General features: G+C 43.8%; 1 protein-coding gene and 1 long non-coding RNA gene across 9 annotated transcripts in view, besides 3 other annotated features; one reads left to right on the top strand and one right to left on the bottom strand.

The window, feature by feature from the left end:
• Positions 1,965–2,465: an enhancer, noted in NCBI's record as "H3K4me1 hESC enhancer chr13:24015295-24015795 (GRCh37/hg19 assembly coordinates)". NCBI's record gives its function as "activates a minimal SCP1, AML or CMV promoter by ChIP-STARR-seq in naive and primed H9 embryonic stem cells {active_cell/tissue: H9 hESC(naive and primed)}" and the evidence as "EXISTENCE:reporter gene assay evidence [ECO:0000049][PMID:30033119]".
• Positions 2,466–2,966: an enhancer, noted in NCBI's record as "H3K4me1 hESC enhancer chr13:24014794-24015294 (GRCh37/hg19 assembly coordinates)". NCBI's record gives its function as "activates a minimal SCP1, AML or CMV promoter by ChIP-STARR-seq in naive H9 embryonic stem cells {active_cell/tissue: H9 hESC(naive)}" and the evidence as "EXISTENCE:reporter gene assay evidence [ECO:0000049][PMID:30033119]".
• SACS (sacsin molecular chaperone) overlaps positions 9,919–25,832 on the top strand; it is a 104,873-nt gene continuing 88,959 nt past the window's right edge. For 4 of the 8 annotated variants that reach the window (XM_047430261.1, XM_047430257.1, NM_014363.6 and 1 more), the window contains exon 1: positions 9,919–10,006. The gene's annotated coding sequence lies outside the window, so the exon portion shown is untranslated. Of the gene's footprint in view, positions 10,228–25,832 lie in introns of all 8 variants that reach the window. The other 4 variants (XM_047430262.1, XM_047430258.1, XM_047430256.1 and 1 more) reach the window with 1 other exon arrangement.
• Positions 10,100–10,667: an enhancer, noted in NCBI's record as "OCT4-NANOG-H3K27ac hESC enhancer chr13:24007093-24007660 (GRCh37/hg19 assembly coordinates)". NCBI's record gives its function as "activates a minimal SCP1, AML or CMV promoter by ChIP-STARR-seq in naive and primed H9 embryonic stem cells {active_cell/tissue: H9 hESC(naive and primed)}" and the evidence as "EXISTENCE:reporter gene assay evidence [ECO:0000049][PMID:30033119]".
• On the bottom strand, positions 14,752–24,650 carry SACS-AS1 (SACS antisense RNA 1). Its single transcript, NR_103450.1, has 2 exons — positions 24,320–24,650; positions 14,752–16,654 (listed from the first exon to the last, which is right to left on the bottom strand). It is a non-coding gene; the product is annotated as an SACS antisense RNA 1 (long non-coding RNA).

Below are 25,832 nucleotides of genomic sequence, written 5' to 3'. Positions count from 1 at the left end.
AAAGACAAAATGCCCAGCTCGCCTCTAGCAGAGCTGCTGGTTCCCCTTCCACTGCTTGCAGTCTGAAGGCCCTGAAGCTGCCCCATATTACAATTCAGTATCATCAATGCTCATTTGCTCAGCTGTGGGCTTCAGGGACCCTTTGTCATCCTTGATTCCTCTCCTTGCCTTATTCAATCTATCAGTACAATTTATCAAAATATGCACCAAATCTGTCTGCTTCTCACCATCCTCATGTCTACAACTCTAGTTTAAATCACTATTATTTCTCACCTGAAATGATTCAAATGCGATCTGGCTGGACTTCCTCTTTTTACTCTTGCCCTACTCAAAGAGAAGCCAAAGTGATCTGTCTTAAATGTAAATCAGACCCAGTGCTTTCCAGGATAATTGTAATAAAGAGATGTTATTTCCCGTGCCAAATGCCTCTGTAATCTGGCTGCTGCCTGCCTCCATCACACACCTCCCTCCACTCTCTTCTCTCCTCACTAGGCTCTAGTCATAACCTTATGTTCCTTGAGCACTCTGTTCTTTCCCATCTCAGGGCCTTTGCACGTGATATTTCTTCTCCTTTGGAAAGTTCTTCTTTGCAGAGATTAGCCAGTTGCCTCTATCTCAGCACTAACATCTCATCATCCAGGTCTCATTACTATGTAAACTCTCCAAGGGCATAAATGTTCACTGCCGTATGCCCAGTACCCAGTAAATGTTTGCCATATATAGGCAATCAAAAAGTACTTGTTGAATTTATTGAATAAGCTAAAGTAATATCTCCTTGGAGAAACCTCTCTGAGCATCCTAGCTAAAGAACTCCCCCATCCCAGACACTTTCTATCATAACCTATTTCAGCCTCTGCATGGAAGTTACAATCACTGGAATCATTTACTTATTATTTATTTATATCTATTATCAACCTCCCCCAAAACTAAAAGAGGTTCAGATAATTTATACCAAAAATATGTTGTAAGTGTCAGTGGGATAAACTCACTTACTACAAGAAAATAAATATTAAAATAAGTAAAATGCCAAATCCAAACTGCAGATTATTATACAAGATACAAAGCTAAATAAATTATCTTAGAATGGTCAAGCAAATGATAGGAAAAAAATTGAGATAATATTAATATCAGACAAGGTTGAATTTAAGGCAGGAGCTGTTAATTGAGACAAAGAGGGACACAGAAATAATAGTAGTAGGAAAATTTAATTGATCGCTGTCAACCATGACAGAGCAAATAGGCTAAAATTAAGAGCATGGAGGATCTGAATAAAGTTGAGGTAAGAGTTATACATTGAACTTCATTATAAAAGAGAATGCACAATCTCTTAATTAGACCCATGGTACAATAATATATCATCAAGGACACAAAGAAAATCATGATAAATTAACAACAATTGGAAAAATATAACCTATAATGTCGGACCACATATTTTCAACATAAATAGAATCAAAATGAGTATTAACCACTTGGAAATGACAAAATTCTTTTTAAACCACATATGGCTCAGAGAAAAAGATCAAAACCCAGATTAACGTATATCTAAATAAAAATGATAAGAACACTGCATATTAAAGCAGAATAATTGGTTAAAGGGGTACTCAGAGGAGCTTTCATGACCTTTGTCACATATTTATTTAAAAATAAAGAAATAAATGGATAAAGCATTCAGCTCAAAAAGTTAGGGAAAGAAAAACAAAAGAAGTCAAAGGAAACAGAAGGAATAAATTGCAGAAATAAATTACAAAACAGAAAAAGGAATCGACAAATCCAGTAACTAGTTCTCTGAAAAACAATACAGATAAACTTGTAGTTGGTAATCAAGAAAACAGGAGAGAAAACATAAGTTTTCTTATATAATTAGAAATAAACCAAGGGTGGCTGGGCACGGTGGCTCATGCCTGTCATCCCAGCACTTTGGGAGGCCGACGCAGGTGGATCACCTGAGGTCAGGAGTTGGAGACCAGCCTGGCCAACATGGTGAAACCCCATCTCTACTAAAAATACAATATTGAAAAATCCAACTTGTGTGACTTCAGACCTAACTAAGAATTGAGTAAAAAGTGTTTATTATTATATGGTGGTTAAATCTGGAAGTGGCTCCATGAGCAGCCAACCAGCGTGATGAGGGACATCTACCAGCTGAGCAAGAGGCCCGGAGTGAGCCCTCTGGCTGTGCCACCCATCAGCTGGCTGTGACTCAGCTCCCGTCACGCTGGCTGTGTCATGCTGAGTGGCAGAGCCCTTAACCAGAGCTTGAACAACCAACTTAACGCAGGGGGCAGAAAGGTCCCCAGGACGGGGAAAGAAACAGGGATATCCCAAAGCACCCATTAGAGAAGAGCATGAGGCTGTGTGCTGAGAAATGCCACAGCATTCGAATCTCCAGGCGGCAGCGATAGTGGCTCATTTTGCTGGATGTGGTGTGCACAGACTGGGACCAGAGCTCTGGCTCTGCCAGTCACTCTGTGCACCCTGGAAACTTTGTGAACATTCCTGACTGAGCAGAGCAGGGGGCACCCCTGTCAACTGTGAGGTAGCAGTGGAGCTGGGTCTGCATGTGGATCATGTTGGTTTCACCTCGTGAACTGTCATGTGGTAAGAATGGAAGCACCTCCAAAGCCCAAATAAGGCTCCAACTAGATAGCAATTGGCAGTTTCTGTGCTCTGAGACTCTTCCTGAAAGGACCGAGGCCAGAACCTGAGAAGGCAGCCCTGTGGTGCGCTCCGGGCAGGCCGGCCTGGACTGAAACTCCCCACCCACTCTGAACCTAAGGCTCGTTCAGTGAGCACAGGCTACCAGACTTGGTACCTGGCAAAAATAGGCATCTCCACCACTTCATACACCATTTGGTCTTGTCTTTCCTCCTTACCAACAGACTATATGTGTGTTTTTTTCTCCTTGGCTTTCATTATCCTAGGGTAAGAGGCCTGACTGGCTGTCAGGCTCAGTTCTCGTCTGGTGCATGGCAGCAGCTCCACACCCAGGCTTTGTCCAGAGCAAAGGCAGCTGATTTTTTTAAGTTTTTTTGTTTGTTTTTGTTTTGTTTGGTTTCTGAGACAGAGTCTCGCTCTGTCACCCAGGCTGGAGTGCAATGGAGTGACTTCGGCTCACTGCAACCTCGCCTCCAGGTTCAAGCAAGTCTCCTGCCTCAGCCTCCCACGTAGCTGGGATTACAGGTCTGCCCACCACGTCTGACTAATTTTTTTTTTTTTTTTTTTTTTTTTTTTTTGAGAAGGAGTTTCACTCTTGTTGCCCAGGCTGGAGTGCAATGGTGTGATCTCAGCTCACTGCAACTTCCACCTCCCGGGTTCAAGTGATTCTCCTGCCTCAGCCTCCCACATAGCTGGGATTACAGGCATGTGCCACAACATCTGGCTAATTTTCTATTTTTAGTAGAGATGGGGTTTCTCCATGTTGGTCAGGCTGGTCTCAAACTCCCAACCTCAGGTGATCCACCTGCCTTGGCCTCCCAAAGAGCTGGGATTACAGGCGCGAGCCACTGCGCCCGGCCTAAAAGTTTTTGTTTTAAATAACTTTTTTTCACAAAAATAATATAAAGACCATGAAAGATTTTGCTACTCCATGATTTTACCACCTTAAAGTAGCTATTTTGGTGACTTGGAGTTAATTCCCAGGTTCTTTGCACATGCACGTATATACTACATAATCATAACCACAGATAGAATGCATTGTACTTCCCAGTTAACATATAAATACTCTTTGTTTCTATCTGGTCCGGCTTTATGAAGTCACAGAGGATCCCATGCCCAGAAGGGATTAAACAATGCCTGGTTTAATGCTCCACTGCCAATATCTCAAAATTCTTAATAATTTTCAGCAAAGTACCCAGTATTTTTATTTGGCAGTGGGACCTGAAAATTATGTAGCTGGTCCTAGTTTCTATTTTTATTTTATTTTTATAGACCATCAGATCTAGTGAGAAATCCCTATCACGAGAGCAGCAGCATGGGGGTAACTGCCCTCATGATTCAATTACCTCCCACTGGGTCCCTCCCATGACATGCAGGGATTATGGGAACGACAATTCAAGATAAGATTTGGGTGGAGACACAGACAAACCATATTATTCACATGCATTGAGAATCTGTTGCTTAGTGTAGTCACCTTCATCCGTTATGTTAGCTAGATCTTTTGGAGAACTTGTTGAAGTTTCTCCATTAGCACGTGCTGCTTCACCTTGCACTTTCATGTTATGGAGATGGCTTCTTTCTTCAAACCTCAGGAACCAACCTCTGGTAGCTTCAAACTGTTCTGCAACTTCTTCACCTTTCTCAGCCTTCACAGAATTCAGGAGAATTAGGGCCTTTTTCTATATTGGGCTTTGGCTTAAGGGAATGTTGTAGCTGGTTTGATCTTCTATTCAGACCACTAAAACTTTCTTCATATCAATTAAAAGACTGTTTCACTTTCTTATGATTCATGTGTTCACTGGAGTAACACTTAATTTCCTTCAAGAACTTTTCCTTTGCATTCATTATTTGGCTATCTGTTTGGAGTTAAAAGGCCTAGCTTTTGACCCATCTAGTATTTGACATGCTATACACATTAAGCTTAATCATTTCTAGCTTTTTAAAAAAATGATTTTAACTCTATAGATTCAGGAGGTACATGTGCAGGTTTGTTACACAGGTATATTGCATGATGCTGACGCTTGGGGTACAAATGATCCCATCATCCAGGTAGTGAGCATAGTACCCAATAGGTAGTTTTTCAGCCCTTGGCCCCCTCCCCTACTCTTTCATCTAGCAGTTTCCAGTGTCTTTTTCCCCCTATCTTTACGTCCATGTGTACCAATGCTTCGCCCCCACTTATAAGTGAGAACATGTAGTATTTGGATTTTTGTTCCTGCGTTAATTCACTTGGGATAATGGCCTCTAGTTGCTTCCATTTCATTCTTCTTTATGGCTCTGTATTGTTCCTTGGTATGTGTACCACTTTTTTTTATCCAATCACCTATTGATGGGCATCTAAGTTGATTCTATGTCTTTGATATTGTGAATACTGCTGTGATGACCATACAAAGTGTATGAGTCTTTTTGGTGGGACAATTTATTTTCTATTGCATATACACCCAGTAATAGGACTGCTGAATTGAATGGTAATTCTGTTTTTGGTTCTTTGAGAAATCTCCAACTGCTTTCCACAATTGCTGAACTAATTTACATTCCCACCAACAGTATATAAGTGTTCCCTTTTCACTGCAGCCTCCCCAACATCTATTATTTTTTGGCTTTTTAATAATAGCCATTCTGATTGTGCGAGATGCTATCTCATTGTGGTTTTGATTTGCATTTCTCTGATGATTACTGATGATGAACATTTTTCATTCATTTTTAGCTTTTGATTTAAAGCGAGAGATATGTGATTATTTCTTTCACTTGAACACTTAGAGGCCACTGTAGTGTTATTCACAGGCATAATTTCAATATTGTTGTGCCTCAGGGAATAGGGAAGCCTGAGTGGGAGCGAGAGAGAGAGGCAGAGAGAGAGGAGGGGAGAGACAGAGAGAGAGAAACAGTGAACAGCTGGTCAGTGGAGCAGTCAGAACACACAACATTTGTCAATTAAATTCACCGTCTTATATGGATGCCACTTGTGGAGCCCCAAGACAATTACGATAGCAACATCAAAGATCACTGATCACAGATTACCATAACAGATATAATAATCAGAGCTTGAAATATTGTGAGAATTACCAAAATGTGACACAGAAACACAAACTAAGCACGTGCTGTTGGAAAAATGGCTCCAATAGTCTTACTCAAGGCAGGATTGTCATGAACCTTCAATTTGTAAGAAACATAGAATCTGCATTGTGCAATAAAGTGATATGCAATAAAACGAGGTATGCTTCTATTCCCATTTCACAGATGAAAAAACTGAAGGTCAAAAATCATGTGACTTTCCCAGACAGTTCCTGGTTTGTAGATATTTAATCTCTATAATCCCTGACAAGAGCAATCATTACTATTGAGCATGCTGGCATGATGTGCCAGTGAGTTAGTAAAACCGGTGATATTGGTCAGGGTTCTCTAGAGGGACAGAATTAATAGGATAGATGTATATATAAAAGGGAACTTATTAAGGAGTATTGACTCACACGATCACAAAGTGAGGTCCCACAATAGGCCATCTGCAAGCTGAGGAGCAAGGAAGCCAGTCCGAGTCCCAAAACCTCAAAAGTAGGGAAGCCAACAGTGCGTAGACTCCTGGTCTTTGGTCTGTGGCCAAAGGTCCAAGAGTCCCAAAGCTGAAGAACTTGGGGTTCAATATTCATGGGTAGGAAGCATTCAGCACTGGAGAAAGATGTAGGCTAGAAGACTAAGCCAGTCTAATCTTTCCACATTCCTCTGCCTGCTTTTATCCTAGCTACTCTGGCAGCTAATTAGACTGTGCCCACCCAGATTGACGGTGGATCTGCCTCTGCCACTGACTAAAATGTTAATCTCCTTTGGCAACACCCTCACAGACACACCCAGGAACAATACTTTGCAGCCTTCAATCCAATCAAGTTGACACTCAATATTAACCATCACAGATACAGAAGCTAAGACTCCAAAACTATGACTAGATGCCGAGACTTAGCTTGTATCATTCAGGTTGAGCTGCTAACCTTTCTGAGTTGATAAAATCTGACCCTCATACAGATTGAGGAAGAGGCCAAGAAAACCATGTGGTCTCCAGGCCACATGTGAGCAGAGCTTTGGCCACGTGATATGGCTGGAACGAAAGACTGGCACGGTAGGAGCAGCAGCTGGGAGGATCCAGGGGAAGGAGTCAGCATATTGCAGCAGCTCTTTGAAACCTCTGGACAAGTGGCAGAGACTCATCCTCTAGCTGCACTTTTGTGGTTCTGGACAGCCGTGGCACCAGGTCATATTTTCTCATGTTCTAGGCTCAGCTTAGGGTAAGGTGGAGACATTGACTTAGGGTTCTCCAGAGAAACAGAACTAAAGATATTTATAGATATGTAAGAAGGGATTTATTATGGAAATTGGCTCATGTGCTTGTGGAAGCCAGTAAGTCTCCTGATCTGCCATCTGCAAGCTGGAGAACAAGGAAAGCTGTTGGTGTGATTCAGTCTGAGTCTGACTGCCTGAGAACCAGGCGAGCTGATGGTGTAAATCCTAGTAGAAGGCCAAAGGCCTGAGAATGAGGTGGGGTGCTGGTGTAAGTCCTGGAGTCTGAAGATCTGAGAACCAGGACCTCTGATGTCCAAGGTAGGAGAAGATGGGATGTACCAGCTCAAGGAGAGAGAGGGAGAGAATTTGTTCTTCCTCTGACTTTTGGTTCTCTATCTGGGCCCTCATGTGGGATGATGTCCGTCTACATGGGTGACAGCAGAGCTTCTTTACCCAGTCTAGTAATTCAAACGCTAGTCTCTTTGGCAGACACCCTCACAGACACACCCAGAGAGGATGCTTTACCAGCTATCTGGGTATTCCTTAGCCCAGTCAAGTTGACACCTAAAATTAACCATCACAGACAGATTGACCTCTGACTTGGGTATGTTAACGGTCAATCTTTGCCCAGAATGTGGAAGATCTGTGGTTCATGAATTATCCAGAAATCTTTGCTTTCTTAAATTTTTAGGACAAAGTCTAAATCTTTTGACAACAACATTCCAATAGCATAAATGGCACCATAAGTGTAAATGAACTCATATGGTTTATTTCATGTGCCATTGTATCTGGACAGTGGCATAGTGAAGGGCTTGCAATGCACATGAAATCACCTTCCAAATGTGTAGAAAGTCACATATAAACACATGCAATTTGTTGTAACAGTAACAAGGTGTATCACAGGCAGTGCTCACAAGGGTATTTAAGCTTTGACTTCTACATTGCAACACTATTTTTTGTCTTTTTTTTTTTTAATTTTAGAGATGAGGTCTACTCTGTCGCCCAGGCTGGTGTGCAGTGGTGCAATCATAGCTCACTGTAACCTTAAACTCCTGGGCTCAAGTGATCCTCCCACCTCAGTCTCCCGAGTAGCTAGGACTGCAGGCATGCACGACCAATGCCTGCTTAATTTTTTAATTTTTGTAGAGATGAAGTCTTGCTATGTTTGTTTTTGTTTTTTTGGGACAGGGTCTCACTCTGTTGTTTAGGTTGGAGTGCAGTGGCACAATCTCAGCTCACTGCAACCTCTGCCTCCCAGGTGCAAGCAATTCTCCTGCCTTAGCCTCCAAGTATCTGAGATTACAGGTGCACACCACTGCACCCAGCTAATTTTTGTATTTTTAGTAGAGATGGGGTTTCATCATGTTGGCCAGGCTGGTCTTGAACTCCTGGCCTCAAGTGATCCACCCACCTCGGCCTCCCAAAGTGTTGGGATTACAGGCGTGAGCCATTGCGCCCAACCTGAGGTCTTGCTATGTTGCTCAGGCTGGTCTCAAACTCCCGGCCTCAAGCAATCCTCCTTCCTCAGCCTCCTGAGTTGCTAGGACTACAGGCATGTACCACCACACCTGGCTAAGCAACACTATTTCTGAATAATCAATATTTCACTGGATACTTTTATGTAGTGTGAGTAGGTAGGCAAAATCGTCTAACCTCTCTGAAAACTATACATATATATTATATATATAGTTTATATATATGTAGTTATTTATAACTTTTCCCTTTGGGGGTGTAATGGTTTACAGCTGTGAGTAGAAGAGCCTGCTGGGGGAGCAACATACTGGGTATTCACCGTTTAGTCTACGGTGTCTAGCTGATGCCAGGAACAAGCAAGGGCTCAATATTTGTGTGCTGAATTAAACTGATTACAACTGAACCATGTAAGAATGGTGGTAGCCTCAGAGAGGCAGCCTCACTCCACAGGCGCATGCCACCGAGGGCCTGTTGGTCCACACGGTGCTACAGTGAGAGCTCAATGAAAAGGCCCTGCAAGACACCATTTCTCCCCAATAGAAATGTGCTTTGTTTGTGATTATTCAGTCCTTTTGTTAGAACAGGTCTCCCACCTATCTCCCAGGAAATAATATGTACACAAATCTGTGAGTCTAGGATGTGAAGGAGACACCATTAGATGTGGCATCTTCTGGGTCAGACCAGTGCAGGGCCAGGTACAAGAAGCAGGGGCTCTCCTTCCCCAGTTGCTGCTGACATTTGGGGCTTGCTTTGGTCTTCTCCCAGGAGAGATCATTTGAGCCTTTTCAGGTCTGGAGTTGTTTGAACTGACTTAAGAGGAATTTTCCGCAGGAACGAAGCAATAAGAAGCTTCCGAGATCCAGTATTTCCAGATAAGCCAAAATTCTAGATTTATATGGATAAAGCAGGCAGTTCTACTAGGAGACTATCATGAGGAATATGATGTACCCAGGCCAGTGGCAGGATAGCTGTGCGCCGAAATGAAATAAATGCTGGTGGTATTTCACATACCCCATCAGAGGAAGCAAGAAAATAGAGTTACAATATTTTGTATTATTAAATTGAGACTAGCAATTTCAACTTAGAACAGGATCAATTGTATAGCATTTCACAGTTTACCACACATTTTGAGTGAATGCTTTTTTTTTTAACCATTGGAACCTCATAAACAACTCCAAATAACATACAAAAAGCAGATTGTGAGCTACAACATTACCAGGTCACAGGTCTTCATTTCCCATGAGGTACTCGAGACCCATGAGTGACTTGTCTAAGGTCACACAACTGGTGTTTAATAGAGCCAGTCTTCTGTTAGCCATACCTACTGCTAAAAATTAGCCTTTGCAAGTGAAGAGAACAAAAACGTGTGGTTGGTTGTCACCCCCACAATGAACGACAATGCTGCACTTGCAGCATTATTGACACCTAAGGTTGATGACAGTCCTGTCTCTTTAAGAAGAAAAAAAAAGGCTGCTGGGTAGGGGGAGCGACTGACTGCGGCAGGAGCCGCCTGGACCCAGTGCGGCTGCGGGACAGTCACGCTGGGAACTGCTGATGGCACTGGAGGAAAACAAAGGCCGAGAGACCCTGATGCCCACAGCCCCCAGTAAGTCCAAGGTTCCAGCTGGGTGGCCAGCGAGGGCAGCTGCAGGAGCGGCCTGGGGACGGGCAGGCTCCATGGTGTTGTTGGCCATCCGTCCCCTGAGCCTTGGGAAACCAGGGCTCGGCCACTGCAGCTGCTTGGGGGAGGTAAGGGGCCACTTTCCTTTAACATACCCGCCTTCGGAGAGGACAGAGACGAGAGGGCCTTCAGCGTGCTGTACAGCTGTGAGTAATGAGCTCTTCTGAAAATGTACAGTTTGGGTTGGCTGCTTGTGAATTTGTGGGTGAGGAGCGGCTGCAGGGTGACTAGAGAGATCTGCCGCGGTCAAGATGCTGGACTAGCCGCTTTGTCATTTTAATTTCCACCCGGGTTGCCAGGCACCGCCACAATGGAGCTGTTGCAGTAACACAGCGTGGGGTCCAGAGTCTTATTGAACAATAAGATGGGATTCTCAAAGTAGCTTACGGTTAATTTGCAGAATTGCTCTCACTTTAAACAGCATGCCTTCAAACAATGCCATATGTTATGGTTATCTTATATAATATTTGAAAATCCTGCTTTTAGTTAAAAAATATTTCACATATTTAATTTTATTCTAATAAGCGATCATTAGATTCTTTGAAAGAGTATTCCAGCTTTAGCAACAAAACCTCTCTCTCGCTGTCTTTTTTTCTTCCTTAAAACGAGGTCAATACCTCAGAGAAGAGGACTGGATTTGTTTCTATTAAAACATATCAATTGTTTTGGCTTTAATCTTAATTCTCTCTGCCCCTGAAGATGGATAAAGCCCATTCCGCTTAAGTAAAAGGCAGAAGCCAGGTTGAATCCACGTGCTTCCCAAGCGCAAGCTGCTCTGAAGTTATTTTGAAGGGGAACTCTTCATTTCTCCATCAGTGCAGATAAAAGTAATTGATTCACAGGTCATGGATGAAAATAATAATAATAATAATAAATAATTGACAATCCCATTTTATTTGTCACATGACAAGTAGATTTGCCATTCTGTTTTTCTTAAGCTGCCCATTGATAACCAGACTCATTCTACGTTAATGCAGGGTCATGATGTCCCAGTAGTTTTACTTATGACCATCCAGACTGCCTTCCCTAATCTTGCCCTGAAGCCTCACTTTGGGCTGTGACAACGATCCCCAGTTTCCTTTCCTCTATCCTCCTTAGCCGTCCCTTTCATCCTTTCTTCTCCTTCCTGGGCTGTTTGGGCAATTTTTTCTTTCTTTTCTCCTTGGATCTTAAAGACTCCTTCAGTCTCCCTTTCAAACAAAGCAAGCCAGATTTTCTACATACCCTATTTTCCTTTAATCTTACTTGGTTTATAAGAACTTTTCCACGATTAAGTGTTTTCTATTCTTCACATAATAGGAAGAAAAGTCCAATTATAGAACTTGAAGACCAAGGTTTGCTTACATCTGAAGCATCTCAAAACCATTGCTTTACGCAGGACTTGCCCCCAGAAGCCCCGGGTTCCAATCTCAGGTCTACCACATCCTTACTCTGCAGCCCCTGACAATCCACATAACTTCTGTGAGCCTCAGTTCCCTCCTGTGTCAGAGATGACACAATTATTCACTTAATGGTCACAGGGTTGAAACCAGGTGATTTGTATGAAGGCGCCTAGCAGGGTTCTTCACACAGTGTCACTATTTAGTAAGAGTTTTGTCGTTTTCTCACTCAGTCCACCATCTACCTAACCACCATGGTGAAGCATGCTAAAGTGGTTCATGCACCATTTCCCAAAAGGAATAAATTTTGAAATGAACTTTTGGCTGAGTGCATCTGAATGAGTCCTGATCAGTACAAAATACATATTCAGTTCTTGCTATGCACGAAACACTGTTCTAAGCCCTCTTGTCTATAAAAGGAACGCTGATGTTTCCATGTTGCCATAGGAGTATTCTTTGGAAGAAGGAAGGCCGATTCTCTTTGTACAACTCTTCCTAAATCCTTTAAGACAGCAGCAGTGATGATGATATTGACCACTCCCACCATGAGCCTACATGAGGACTACTAAATGTGATTGATGCAGAGGATGCCAAATTGGAAGTCAGGACAATTCCCATTGCTATTCTGATCTTGGACAGCCTGGGTGGCAATTTGCTCTTTGCAATGACAATCCTGTTACTATTTTAATTTCTACTTTATGTGTCTTTCTCCTGCCGTCTTTCCTTTCCTTAACTCACACTCAGGATATTGTGTAAGATTTTAACGTCTAGGAGAGGCCGTTTCACCCCTACCTAAGGGGGAACATAGCGAAGTTGGGAAAAGCACTGGATTGGGGACCAAAGGGTGTGGCTCCAGCCCTGCTTTGACTTCTCTTTGTGCTAATTAGAAAGCCTTTTAACGCCATCTCTAAGGCAAGAGACATAGAATAATCTTTCAATTTCCTTCAGGTTCTGACTAGATGATTCAGATAGCTCTCTTTGGGGTAGCCTCAGTTTACAACAATTATTTGATCAAATTAAATGCTTTTATCTCATTGATTCTTACAATAGCCTTATGAAACAGGCAGCCCCATTTTGCAGATTACAAAATGCAACCTTAAGAGAGAGTAGAACCCCAAGTATTTCTTATTAGTAAAAGGAGAGACTGACTAGATGGTAAGACTCGATTCCCTTGGGGAGCATCACTGAGTTCTCAGACTGAACTCTGAGCTCTGTTCCTACCATGGTATCCCCCTCAAGGCACTTCAAATTGACGACGATGTGAAACCCAAGGTGACACGTTGGTTCTGGGTTTTGTCAGGAGAGATCTGTGGTCCAATTATAATAACCTTACATCCAGACAAACATTTGTTTTAAATATTCTGCTCGAGATTACACCATGAGTTTGTCATCTGGGGCAGAAAATAAGGGCTCTACAGTCCACATAGCCTTTTAATGTGTTCTGAAATGACATTTAAAAATAAATCAAAGCCATCCTAATATAATTATTGGTGATCATTTAAATCCTTACCTCATTAAAGTACTAAGTGCTAGAAAGGAGTATTTGAATTCTATACGTATCTAGAATTTGTGCACATTTTCACATAGTACTACTTTAGCCTTTTTCCTTGTTTTTAATGCAATGATAAATTTCACCATTTAAAAACCCTGATAGGATTACAAGATTAAATACAAAAAATATTGCATAAGACATAAACATACTAAAAAATAATTCGTGGTTTATCTGAAACTCAAACTTAAGGTGTATATGTTTATATTTATAATTTTTATTTGCTAAATTTGGCAATATGATATAAACAGAGCTTTACTTGATCAATGATAGTTACTTAGAGCTTAAGGATATTAGTTTGTTAGGTCTTTAAGCTTCAAACATAAATTACAACCAATCTTTATGAGTTTTTTGTCAATTACACCAAATATTCCTTTAGTTTTATTTATTAATTTTTTTTTTTTGAGATGTTGTCTAACTCTGTCACCCAGGCTGGAGGCCAGTGGTGCAATCTCGGCTCACTGCAACCTCCACTTCCCGGGTTCCAGTGATTCTCCTGCCTCAGCCTCTCGAGTGGCTGGGATTACAAGTGACTGCTACCACGTCCGGCTAATTTTTGTATTTTTAGTAGAGACGGAGTTTCACCATGTTGCCCAGGCTGGTCCTGAACTCCTGATCTCCAGTGATCTGCCCACTTCAGCCTCCCAAAGTGCTGGGATTACAGGCGTGAGCCCAGCCAATATTATATTAAATGTTTATGCTAAGTGACCATCCAGAGACAATCCTGATTACAAAGAACAGATCTATGTTCATTTTACTGTCATATTCCTGAGAGTCCCTGCTAAGAATAGTAATAAAAAGTACCCAAGATTTTAATGTATTTGGAGGAAGATATACTGGGTTTTGGAACCTGGCTCCACATCATACTAGTTCTGACACTTAACCTCTTGCAGCCTCAGCTTCCTCCTTCTTAAATGGGATTCATGATAGGTTAAAAATCCCTACCTCGGGCCTGGCACGGTGGCTCACGCCTGTAATCCCAGCACTTTGGGAGGGCCAGGTGGGCAGATCACGAGGTCAGGAGATCGAGACCATCCTGGCTAACACGGTGAAACCCCGTCTCTACTAAAAATACAAAAAAATTAGCCGGGCATGGTGGCGGGCGCCTGTAGTCCCAGTTACTCAGGAGGCTGAGGCAGGAGAATGGCGTGAACCCGGGAGGCGGAGCTTGCAGTGAGCCGATATCGCACCACTGCACTCCAGCCCGGGTGACAGAGCGAGACTCCGTCTCAAAAAAAAAAAAAAAAAAAAAAAAAAAAAAAAAAATCCCTACCTCAACGACTGAATCACAGTTTAGTGAGCCTCTGCCATGGTTGTACATGGTCAATCCTCCCCAAAGAATTAGTTTTTAAAGAAATAATTGAATATTATTTTTCCTTCAAAAAGTCAATATTATTAGATAATATCAATTAAGATATTATGTATTCTGAAATGACACTTAAACATCAAATATATTTTAGTCATATAATCTATTTTTAAAATTTCATTTAGCAGCTTTGAGATATTCACATACCATACAATTCACTCATATGTGATATTATTTTTATGTAAAATTTTATCTTTGAGAATAATTGAGCTTTTGAAGGCAAACCTAAGACTCTGGGAGATTCTATTTCGGTGCCAGCCTTCTAGTCTCCTGCCTCCACAATTAGCTCTGCCAGTTGACAAGCTAGAATCTGAGGCCAGATAAACTACATACAAAATATGTGTAGTTTTATTATCTGTAAATTGGCTAAAGAGACTAAATTATTCACTCTTTATTGAATACTTTCTGTATCCATAAACCTAAGTAGGAGAGTCAAAGGTGAATAAGATATTCTTGAGCAACTTTCAGCAAAGTAGATGAGAAAGATTTGTATGACACAGAAGGGATTTGGAGCACTGGGGGAATAATTTATATATTTTTCTTATTATTGAAATACAGTATTTTTTCTGTTGTACATTTTACATCGAAATCTTTATTACACACACACAAAAGATCAGTAGCACTCTCCTTTACCTTCACCTTTTGTGCTCTAGAAACTATTTTACGTACATATTTAATTTCAGGATTATATTTAAGGTCTGGTACTGGCTGTGGTGACCCCCGACCTTTCCTGCAGCACACTATGCCAACACAGGTCTTTCATTAATGTCATCCAAAATGCTTGCTGTGCCTTACCTTTAAAGGTCTATTGATTTATAGCGTGAATTCATCCGACTTTTCCATTTTGCAAATATTCTATTTTTAAACCAATTTAGTCTTTGCTGACTCATATTTTCTCCTGAAGTTAGGAGAGTGAGATGATTACTTCGCTGATAATTCCCATGGAGGCGTTCTGTGGGCCTGAAGTCTGTCTGCATTTGGCTCCTTGTTTTTGTAATGATAGCGGCTTTCAAGGGTCAGCTTTCACCATATTCCAGAGGATTTGGCCATGTATGAATTTGGTTGAACCAAAAGGATGAATTTTTCATTCCCATCTTCAGATGAACATGGACCCCATTTCTTAGGAGATCACCAAGGGCAATTCTGCCTCTATTCCTTTCTCAAAGAGCGTTTCTAGGGAAACTCAAGCTGTTCTGCCAGGTGCAGCTGCAGAGGCGTGTCTGTGAACACGGCAGCACTGAAAACTATGAAAAGCGAAGGAATCCTTCAGGGAAGAGGGGCTTTACTAGTCCCAAAGACACTCTTAAACAAACAGACAAGACAGCATATCAGAGGAGATAGAGTATTCGTGTGGTTCCTGATTGTATTTTAACCTCATTCCTGCAGGAGAGGCCTTTCTTGTCCCGTCCTCGTCCTCGGGGACCAGCCAGGTGTTGCTGTCCTAGTTTCTGGGAAGCAGCTTTATCCCCCCTTCTCTCCGGTGCAATTCACTTTGTCACCTCAGGAACTTCTTCACTTCCCACACTCTTCTCCTGCCTCCCTCTGCCAAAAGGCTCTACCTCTGCCAAAGGGCGGCGTTTAGCTCAGGGAACAGCTCCCATTATTTATACAATAGTTATGATTTAAGTCCCCAGTCTCCTGGCTGTTCCTGTTTGAAACTGTGTAACTCAAAGAACTTTTCCCATCAGTGAGTAAGTGCAGCTGGCATGTTTATCTTCCTACTCCTTAAATGAGATCATATGTACAGTAGTGCCAAGTTTTCCTACTGTGGGTCAAGCCCATATGCCAAAATAGGATATTTTTGCTGGGAAGGCCAAGAGGTCACTGCGTGGCACATCTGCTTGCTAGCTGTGGGCAGTGGCTTGAGGTTCCAAGCTGGGGAGGAGGGGAGCCCCTGTCCCTAACAGCTGCTGGACAGCACTGATTGTTTTGACCCCTGAAGCATGAGAGGAGGTCATGAATCAGTGGGCAGAGAGTATCATGAACACATTTCATGTCACTTCATGTGTTAAAAAATATTAGATCAGCAAAAGTAGTAGCATCTAATATTTGCAAAAACCGTCTGCAGTTGACTAAATGCTGTTAGAACACAGCTCAGTTTGGTGTTGCGGTGATACAGTTCATGGATAAGGCAAGCTGGCCCTGTTTAGGGATGAGGAAAGTTGGGCACAGCGAGATTATGCGATTCTCAAGCCATGGTGAGGAGAAGACCGAAGAATGTTCTCTTCCATCAGGTGGTGCTACTCCCCAAATGGTAGGGTAGAAGCAGCGTTCCTCTTCTGAAAAGAAAGAGAAGGAGGAAGAAGGAAATGAGGTTTGAGGGGGTGAAAGGAAAATATCTTAGGCCCCCAAAATCACTAAGGAAAACTCAACCCAGGAACTGCTTAGGGCAAACCTGCCTCCCATTCTATTCAAAGTCACTCCTCTGCTCTCTGAGATAGATGCATATCTGATTTGCCTCCGTTGGAAAGGCTAATCAGAAACTCAGAAGAATGCAACCACTTGTGTATCACCTGTCTGACTCACTTCCAGTCTTCTTGCTTTTGCTTCAAGTTGTCCCCCCTTTCCAGACCAAACCAATGTACTTCTTTTTTTTTTTTTTTTTTGAGACGGAGTCTCACTCTGTCACCCAGGCTGGAGTGCAATGGCATCATCTCAGCTCACTGCAACCTCCACCTCCCGAGTTCAAGCAATTCTTCCATCTCAGCCTCCCGAGTAGCTGGGATTACAGGCACCCACCATCATGCCGGGCTAAATTTTGTATTTTCGTAGAGACGGGGTTTCACCATGTTGGCCAGGCTGGTCTTGAACTCCTGACCTCAGGTGATCTGCCCGCCTTGGCTTCCCAAAGTGCTGGGATTACAGGCGTGGGCCACTGCACCTGGCCTGTACTTCTTACATATACTAACTGATGTCTCATGTCTCCCTGAATGTATAAAACCAAGCTGTGCCCTGACCACCTTGGGCAAATGTCATCAGGACTTCCTGAGGCTGTGTAAGGGGTGCGTCCTCAACCTTGACAAAATAAACTTTATAAATTAACTGAGACCTGTCTCAGATTTTCTGGGCTCACTGAAGTCCTATACTTGTGTCAGGCACTCAGTCGTGGGGAATAAGTAAGAGCTGGGAGCCACCGGGATTTAAACGAAGTATGGGCTGTTGCTGGACTCTTCTGGACACCAGTTTCCTTCTCTGTATAATGAAATTCACAATTCCCTACCAAATCACTAGGCTGTTATGAGACTGAAATAAGATCATCCCTATGAAATCACTTTAACAAATCTAAAATACCATGCCCCTGCAAGGTAATCTTATTGTATTGCATTTTAATTTTACTACCAGTATCATTCCAATTGTATAAAAATTTTGTATATACTAATATTCTCTGCCTTGTCACACAGACCCCCGGCGGCCATGCTCTAGCTCATAGGCACGAGCCCACTCCCGCAGGGAGTCAGGCGGGGTGGAGCTTCGGGGCCCCAAGTCCAGCACCCACCTGAGATCTTCACACCCTGAGCAGAGCAGTCGGGGCAACTTAACTGGGCACCAAGTGGGCAAAAATGGCGCCTTCCCCACCACATGTGCAGAAGGGTGAATTCCTGGATGTTGAGGGGTGGGGGCACAGAAACTCCCTGCCCGCTCTCCCCAGGAAGAGGGCAGGGCCCATGGGGACAAGGATTCCCACCTCTTCCCCACCACCATGGACATAAGGCCTTAGTGGACACCAAGGCCCCAGCACGACATCAGGCCCCAAACGACACTGGACTCTAGGTGGACACTGGACATCAGACACCAGGTTGATGCCAGGCCCTAGTCAAGTGGACTCCAGTCCCTGCATAAACATCAGGTCCCAGTTTGGCACATAGGCCCCAGGTGGACACCAGGCCCCTGGTGGATGCCCAGGTTAATACCAGGCCCCAGGTGGACACAAGGTCCCAGGTACATTCAGGTCCCGGGTGGAAACCAGGCCCCAGATGGACATCGGGCATCTGTATGTCAGGTCCCAGGTGGACACATAGGCCCCAAGTGGATGTCTAGTCCCCAGGTAAATACCAGGGCCAAGGTGAACAGGAGGCCCCAGGTGGACACCCTGACCCCAGAGGACCATCCAGCTCGAGGTGGACGTCAGGCCCCAAGTGGACACCAGTGTCCAGATGGACATCAGGCCCCAGGTAGACACTCGACTTGAGGTGTACACCAAGCACCAGGCTCACGCCCAGGCCCCCGATGGATACAATGAAACAACAGGTTCCATTCAGTGATATAATAAAGCACATCCCAAAGCTCCTTCACCCATATCTTCATGATAATTAACTGAGCTGGATAGTCACATGTTCATATATAGGCCTAATAACCTCAGAAATGTAATTGTTTAGATTCTACAAAACCTGTGTTTGGACTTGTTTAATGGAAACTCAGGTTCCATTCAGTGATTTAAAACAGCACATCACAAAGCTTCTTTGTACATAGCTTGGTTTTCGTTATTAGTACTGGACGTTCATATGTTGATATATAGGCCTGATAGCCCCTGAAATGTCATATCTGAGATTCTACAAAACATGTGTTTGGAACTTGCTTCATGGAAACACAGGTTCCATTCATTTATATAAAACAGCACATCAGAAAGTTTCTCCTCACATAGCTTGTTTTTCATTATTAGGGCTGAAAATCTATGTAGGTACAATAGTCTCTGAAATCTCATTTCCTTTTTTTTTTTTTTGAGACAGAGTTTCCCACTTGTTGCCCAGGCTGGAGGGCAGTGGCGTGATCTCGGCTCGCTGCAACCTCCGCCTCCCGGGTTCAAGTGATTCTCCTGCCTCAGCCTCCCAAGTAGTTGGGATTACAGGCATGCGCCACCATGCCCGGCTAATTTTGTATTTTTAGTAGAGCCGGGGTTTTTCCATGTTAGCCAGGCTGCTCTCGAACTCCCGACCTCAGGTGATCTGCCCGCTTTGGCCTCCCAAAGTTCTGGGATTATAGGCGTGAGCCACCATGCCCGGCCTGAAATCTCCTTTCTTAGATTCTCCAAAACATATGTTTGGAAATTGTATAATGGAGATTCCAGTTGCATTCAGTGATATAATAAAGCACATCAGAAAGCTTCTTCACACATAGCTTGTTTCTAGTTATTAGTAGTGGATATGTGTATATTCATATATAAACCCAATAACCTCTGAAATGTCATTTTTGTAGATTCTACAAAACATGTTTGAAACTTGTTTCATAAAAACACAGGTTCCATTCAGTGATATAAAACAGCACATCACAAAGCTGTTTTTAGTTATTAGGGATGGATACTCGTATATTCATATATAGGATAATATCCTCTGAAATGTCATTGCTTAGGTTCTAAAAAATGAGTGCTTGTAACTTGTTTAACAAAAACACTGGTTCTTCTCATTCATATGAAATAGTACATCCCAAAGCTCAAAGCTTCTTCACACATAGCTTGCTTTTAGTTATTAAGGCTCCGTATTTTTATATATAGGCCTAATAGTTTATATATAGGCCTAATAGCTTCTGAAATCTCATTAATTAGATTCCACAAAATGTGTGTTTGGAACTTGTTTAATGAAAACTCACGTCCCATTCAGCGATATAATAAAGCACATCACAAATGTTCTTTGCACATAGCTGTTTCTAGTTATTAGGGCTGGATATTAGTAGGTTCATATAGAGGCCTAATAATCTCTGCAATGTCATTACTTAGATTCTACAATACGTCCTTTTGGAACTTGTTTAACAGAAATGCTTGTTCCATTCAGTGATATAAAACAGTGCATCCTAAAGCTTCTTCGCACATAGATTGTTTTTTGTTATTAGTGATAGATAGTTGTATATTCATACATAGGCCTAATAGCCTATGGAATGTCATTCCTTAGGTTCTAAAAAATGTGTGTTTGGAACTAGTTTAATAAAAACACAGGTTCCATTCAGTGATGTGAGACAGCACATCACAAAGCTTCTTCACAGATTGTTTCTAGTTATTAGGGATGGATATTCGTATATTCATATATAGACCTAATAGCCTCTGAAATGTCATTCCCTGGGTTCTAAAGAACGTCTGCTTGGAAGTTGTTTAATAAAAACACAGGTTCCATTCATTGATATAAAACAGCAAATCACAAAGCTTCTGCTCACATAGCTTGTTTTTAGTTATTAAGGCTGGATTTTCATATGTTTATATATAGGCCTGATTGCCTCTGAAATCTCATTAAATAGGTTCTACAAAACGTGTTTTTACAACTTGTTTAATGGAAACTCACATTTCATTCAGTGATATAATAAAGCACATCACAAATGTTCTTCGCACATAGCTTTTTTCCAGTTAATAGGTCTGGATATTCATATGTTCATATATAGGCCTAACAATGTCTGAAATGTCATTGGTTAGATTCTACAAAACATGTTTCTAGTATGTGTTTAACAGAAACACAGGTTTCTTTCAGTTATATGAAACACCAAAGGCTGAGGCAGGAGAATGGCGTGAACCCAGGAGGCAGAGCTTGCAGTGAGCCGAGATCGTGCCACTGCACTCCAGCCTGGGCGACAGAGTGAGACTCCGTCTCAAAAAAAAAAAAAAGAAACACCACATCACAAAGCATCTTTGCACACAGACTGTTTTAGTTATTAGAGATGGATATTCAAATATTCACATAAGACCTAATAGCCTCTGGAATGTCATTCCTTAGGTTTTATAAAACGTGTGTTTGGAACTTGTTTAATAAAAACACAGGTTCCATTCATTCAGTGATCTGAAATACCACATAACAAAGCTTCTTCATGCACAGATTGTTTTTAGTTATTAAGGATGAATATTTGTATATTCACATGTGGGCCTAACAGCCTCTGAAATGTCATTCCTTAGGTTGTATAAAACGATAAAATGTGTGTTTGGAACTTCTTTAATAAAAACACAGGTTACATTCAGTGATATAATAAAGCACATCACAAAGCTTCTTCTCACATGGCTTGTTTTTAGTTATTGGGCTGAATTTTCATGTTTATATATAGGCCTCTGAAATCTCATTTGTTAGATTCTATAAAATGTGTTAGGAACTTGTTTAATGAAAAGTTACGTTCCATTCAACAATATAATAAGGTACATCACAAAGCTCCTTTGCACATAACTTTTTTCTAGTTAGTAGCATGTTCATATATAGGCCTAATAACCTCTCAAACGTTGTTACTTAGATACTTAGATAATACACCATAGGTGGACGCCCAGGCCGTAGGTAAATACTAGGCCCCAGGTGGAAACCAGGCCCCAGATGGATATCAGGCATCTCGGTGCATGTCTGTTCCCAAGTTGACACATGGGCCCCCGTTGAACACCAGGCCCCACTTAAACTTCAGGCCTCAAGTGGATGTCCAGGCCCCAGGTAAATACCAGGGCCACAGTGGACAGGAAGCCCCAGGTAGACTACAGGCCCCAGGTGGATGCCTAGGCCCCTGGTGAACACCACGCTCCAGGTAGATACCCTGACCCCAGGGCAACATCCAGTTCCCAGTGGACATCAGGCCGCAGGTGGATGCCCAGTTCCCATGTGGACATCAGTCCCCAGGTCAACATCAGGCCCCAGGTGGACACTGGACTTAAGATGTATATCAGGCACCAGGCTCACATCCGTGCCACAGCAGGACACAATGTCACAGGTGGACAGCCATCCCACAGAGGATACCGAGGACTCAGACGGACGTTCAGGCTCAAGGGGAACATAAGACACTATGTAGGCAACAGGCCTGGGTGCATATCAGACCCCAGGTAAATACTCAGGTTCCAGGAGTACAATAGGCTTGAGGTGGATACCCAGGTCCCTGGTAGATACCCAGTCCCCAGCTGAATGTCAATCCTCATGGGACGGCACACTCCACAGGGAAACTAGGTGCCAAGTAAATGCCTAAACCCCTGGTGAATATCAAGCCCCAGGGGTATACCTAGACCAGAGCTGGACATCTGGCCCCAGCTGGACATCCAGGACCCAGGTGGATATCTACACCTCAGGTTGACATCAGGCCCCTGGAGAACACCAGGTTTCAAATGACCACCAGGCCTCAGGTGGCTATGGAAGCCACAGGTGGATATCAGGTACCACGCTCACACCCAGGGCCCAGGCGGACACAAGGCCCCAGAGGAACAACAGGCCCAAGGTGGACAAAGGCCCTAGGTGCACACCAGGTCCTAGGTGGATACCCACACTTTAGGTGGACACCAGGCCCCAGGCAGACACCAGGTGCCAGGAGGATACCCAGGACTCTGGTGGACATTAGGCTCCTGGTGGACACCAACACCCAAGTGGATGTCAGGCCCCAAGTGGGCACTGAGGCCCCAGGTAAATACCCAGGTCCCTGGTCAAAAACAGGTCCCTGATGGACAATCCGGCCCCAGGTGGACATGAGGCCTCAAGTGGACACTTGACTCCAAATGTCTTGGGTGGACACCACTCCCCAGGTGGATACCTGGGCTCCTGATGAACATCAGGCCTCAGGTTCAATCTAGGTCCCATGTGAACATCCAGGCCCAGGAAGTCCTCAGGCACCGGGAAACACTCAAGCCCCAGGTGGACATCCAGTTCCCGACTGACACCAAGGCCTCAGGTGGACACTAGGCACTAGGAGAACTTCAGGGCCCAGCTGAAATCAAGCCCTGGGTGAATACCCAGGCCCTAGCTAAATACCAGGCCCCAGATTTACATTGGGCCACAGGTGGACATTAGGCCCAAGGTACACACTGGATTCTAGGTAGACTTTAGTCCCCAGATTTACATTGGGCCACAGGTGGACATTAGGCCCAAGGTAGACACTGGATTCTAGGTAGACTTTAGTGCCCAGATTTACATTGGGCCACCGGTGGACATTAGGCCCAAGGTAGACACTGGATTCTAGGTAGACTTTAGTCCCCAGGTTCACAGTCACACCTCAGGAAAATACCAGGCCAGGCCCCAGTTGACTGTCAGACCCCATCTAGACACCAGTCCCCACATAGATAATCTATGCCCCATCTGGACATCAGGTTCCAGGTAAACACCAAGTCCAAGATGAAGAGCAGGCCCCAGTTGGGTATCTAATCCATAGGTGGACATGGGGCACCAGATTGACACACAGGCCCAACGTGGATACCCACACCACAGGTGGACATGAGGCCCCAGGTACATACCCAGTCCCCCGGTGACTATCGGGCCCTAGGTGAACACCAGGTCCCAGATGAACATCAGGACCCAAATGGATACCTAGGTCCCTGGGGAACATCAGGCTCCAGGTGGACACCAAGGACCCATGTGGGCAGCTAGGCCCAGAGTGACATCAGGTTCCATGGGGACACCCAGTCTCCAGGTGGATACTGCGTCCCTAGGGGTACACACCAGTCCTCAGTGACCGAATGGTCACATATTCTCTGGCCAAATGCAATAAAATCACCTCCCCAAAGAATATATATTCTTTAAAACTGAAAACTACATTTCTCAATCATTCTGAAGATAAGGAACTCGCAACAGAATGCTGAACACACACAGAAACGATGAAACTCCCACAACCAACACGAGTGCAATGCTGCTCAACTAGTCCGAGAGCAAGACCCACCACAGGCTTTGCATAGAAGACGCACAGATTCGAATGGAAGAAAATGTGGGACCCGAAATTGCAATATAAGAAAAGAGAAAAAGGCAACCACGCACACCAAGAAATCCAAGAAGTAAAGGGTGACATGGAGACATAACACGCCCGGTTTCCCAAGAAACATTAGGAACCACATTGCGAAATGAAATGGCAGGCCCCATCAAGCCCTGTTGAGACTCTGAACTGCAGGCCTCTCCTAGACGGCCTCTAGGCCTACAAATTGCTAAGGCCACCCTTAACACGTCCTACCCACCTTGTAGAAATTCCCCACCACTAGGAAAAGACACTAAAACCCATGTTGGTCCCGAGCTTACCCTGCCAGAGCTTACCTTGCCGAAGCTTCCCGCAGTCCCTGGGTGCCACTAGCTGGCTCTGTGGCTTCCTTGGAGGGCCTGTGGCCTAGGCCCGGTCCCCTCTCTCAGCTCCCGTGCCTGTCCGCCCATGACCCCAGAGGGACGGGCCCCTGGTTCCCTGGCGGAGCTGCCCTGTCGGCTCACACAGGCGCCGGACGGCCGCGCTCTTGCTCCCAGGCACCAGCCCACTCCCACGGGCAGTCGATTGTGGCACTCTCTGGGGCCCCAAGTCCTGCACCTGCCCCAGATCTTCATGCCCTGAGCAGAGAAGCGAGAACATCTTACTCAGCACCAACTGGGCCAAAATGGCGCCTTCCGCACCACGTGTGCAAGAGGGCAAGTTTCCCGTGGTGGGGGAGGGGGCACAGAAACTCCCCACCTACTCTCCTAGGAAGAGGGCGGCGCCCATGGAGACAAACCCATGGGCACCTTGATAGTCACAAATGCAATGCTAGATCAAAAAATGATATTCTGGTCAGGCACCCTGGCTCAGGTCTCTAACCTCAGCACTTTGGGAGGCTGAGGCAGGGGGATCACTTGAGGTCAGGAGTTTGAGACCACCCTGGCCAACATGGTGAATCCCCTCTCTACTAAAAATACAAAAATTAGCTGGGCTTGGTGGCAGGTGCCTGTAAGCCCAACTACTCAGACAGCTGAGGCAGGCAAATCACTAGAACCCAGGAGGCGGAAGTTGCAGTGAGCAGAGATCAGCCACTGCCCTCCAGCTGGAGAGACAGAGCAAGACTCCATGTAAGGTAAAAAAAAGAAATGGGTGCTATACTGAAGCACTCAAATGTGGAAACATCAGATGAGAATTTATATACAAGGGAAACAAACATATATGTCTAAAAATCTTGTATAATGTTAAGCATATAATTATTAAGGAACAAAAAGCACTTCTGTAGTTGAAAACAGTAAAAATTAAGTTGAACTAAATGTATATTACTATTTCATTACAAGCAGAGATAGTCTTTGTATTATATTTAAATGAAGGTATTATCCATATGAAAGATAAATATAAATTAGAGCCTGTTCCCCAATTTCTGCTTTTCTCTTAGGTTGTTTCTTTTTTTATTTTCAAGAGTTCTTTCTATATTCTGAACACAAAACTTTTGCTGATTGCTGTGTGGCAAATATCTTCTATTTTATATAGCTTGCCTTAGGTGAGCAGAAATTCTTAATTTTAATGTAACTTGAATTTTTTTTTTTTTTTTTTTGAGACAGAATCTTACTCCCAGGCTGGAGTGCAATGATGCAGTCTAAGCTCATTGCAGACTGCCTCCTGGGCTCAAGTGATCCTCCCACCTCAGCCTCCCTAGTAACTGTGACTACAAGTGCGTGCCACCATGCCTGGCTAATTTTTGTATTTTTTGTAGAGATGGGGTTTTGCTGTGTTGCCCAGGTTGGTCTCAAACTCCTGAGCTCAGGGGTTCCGCCTGCCTCAGTGTTCCAAAGTGCTGGGATTACAGGTGTGAGCCACCGCACCCGG

Source organism: Homo sapiens, chromosome 13 (genome assembly GCF_000001405.40).
Source record: "Homo sapiens chromosome 13, GRCh38.p14 Primary Assembly".
NCBI classification, from domain to species: Eukaryota; Metazoa; Chordata; class Mammalia; order Primates; family Hominidae; genus Homo; species Homo sapiens.
The sequence above is the reverse complement of the archived record's forward strand: the minus strand, read 5'-3'. Positions and strand labels throughout refer to the sequence as shown.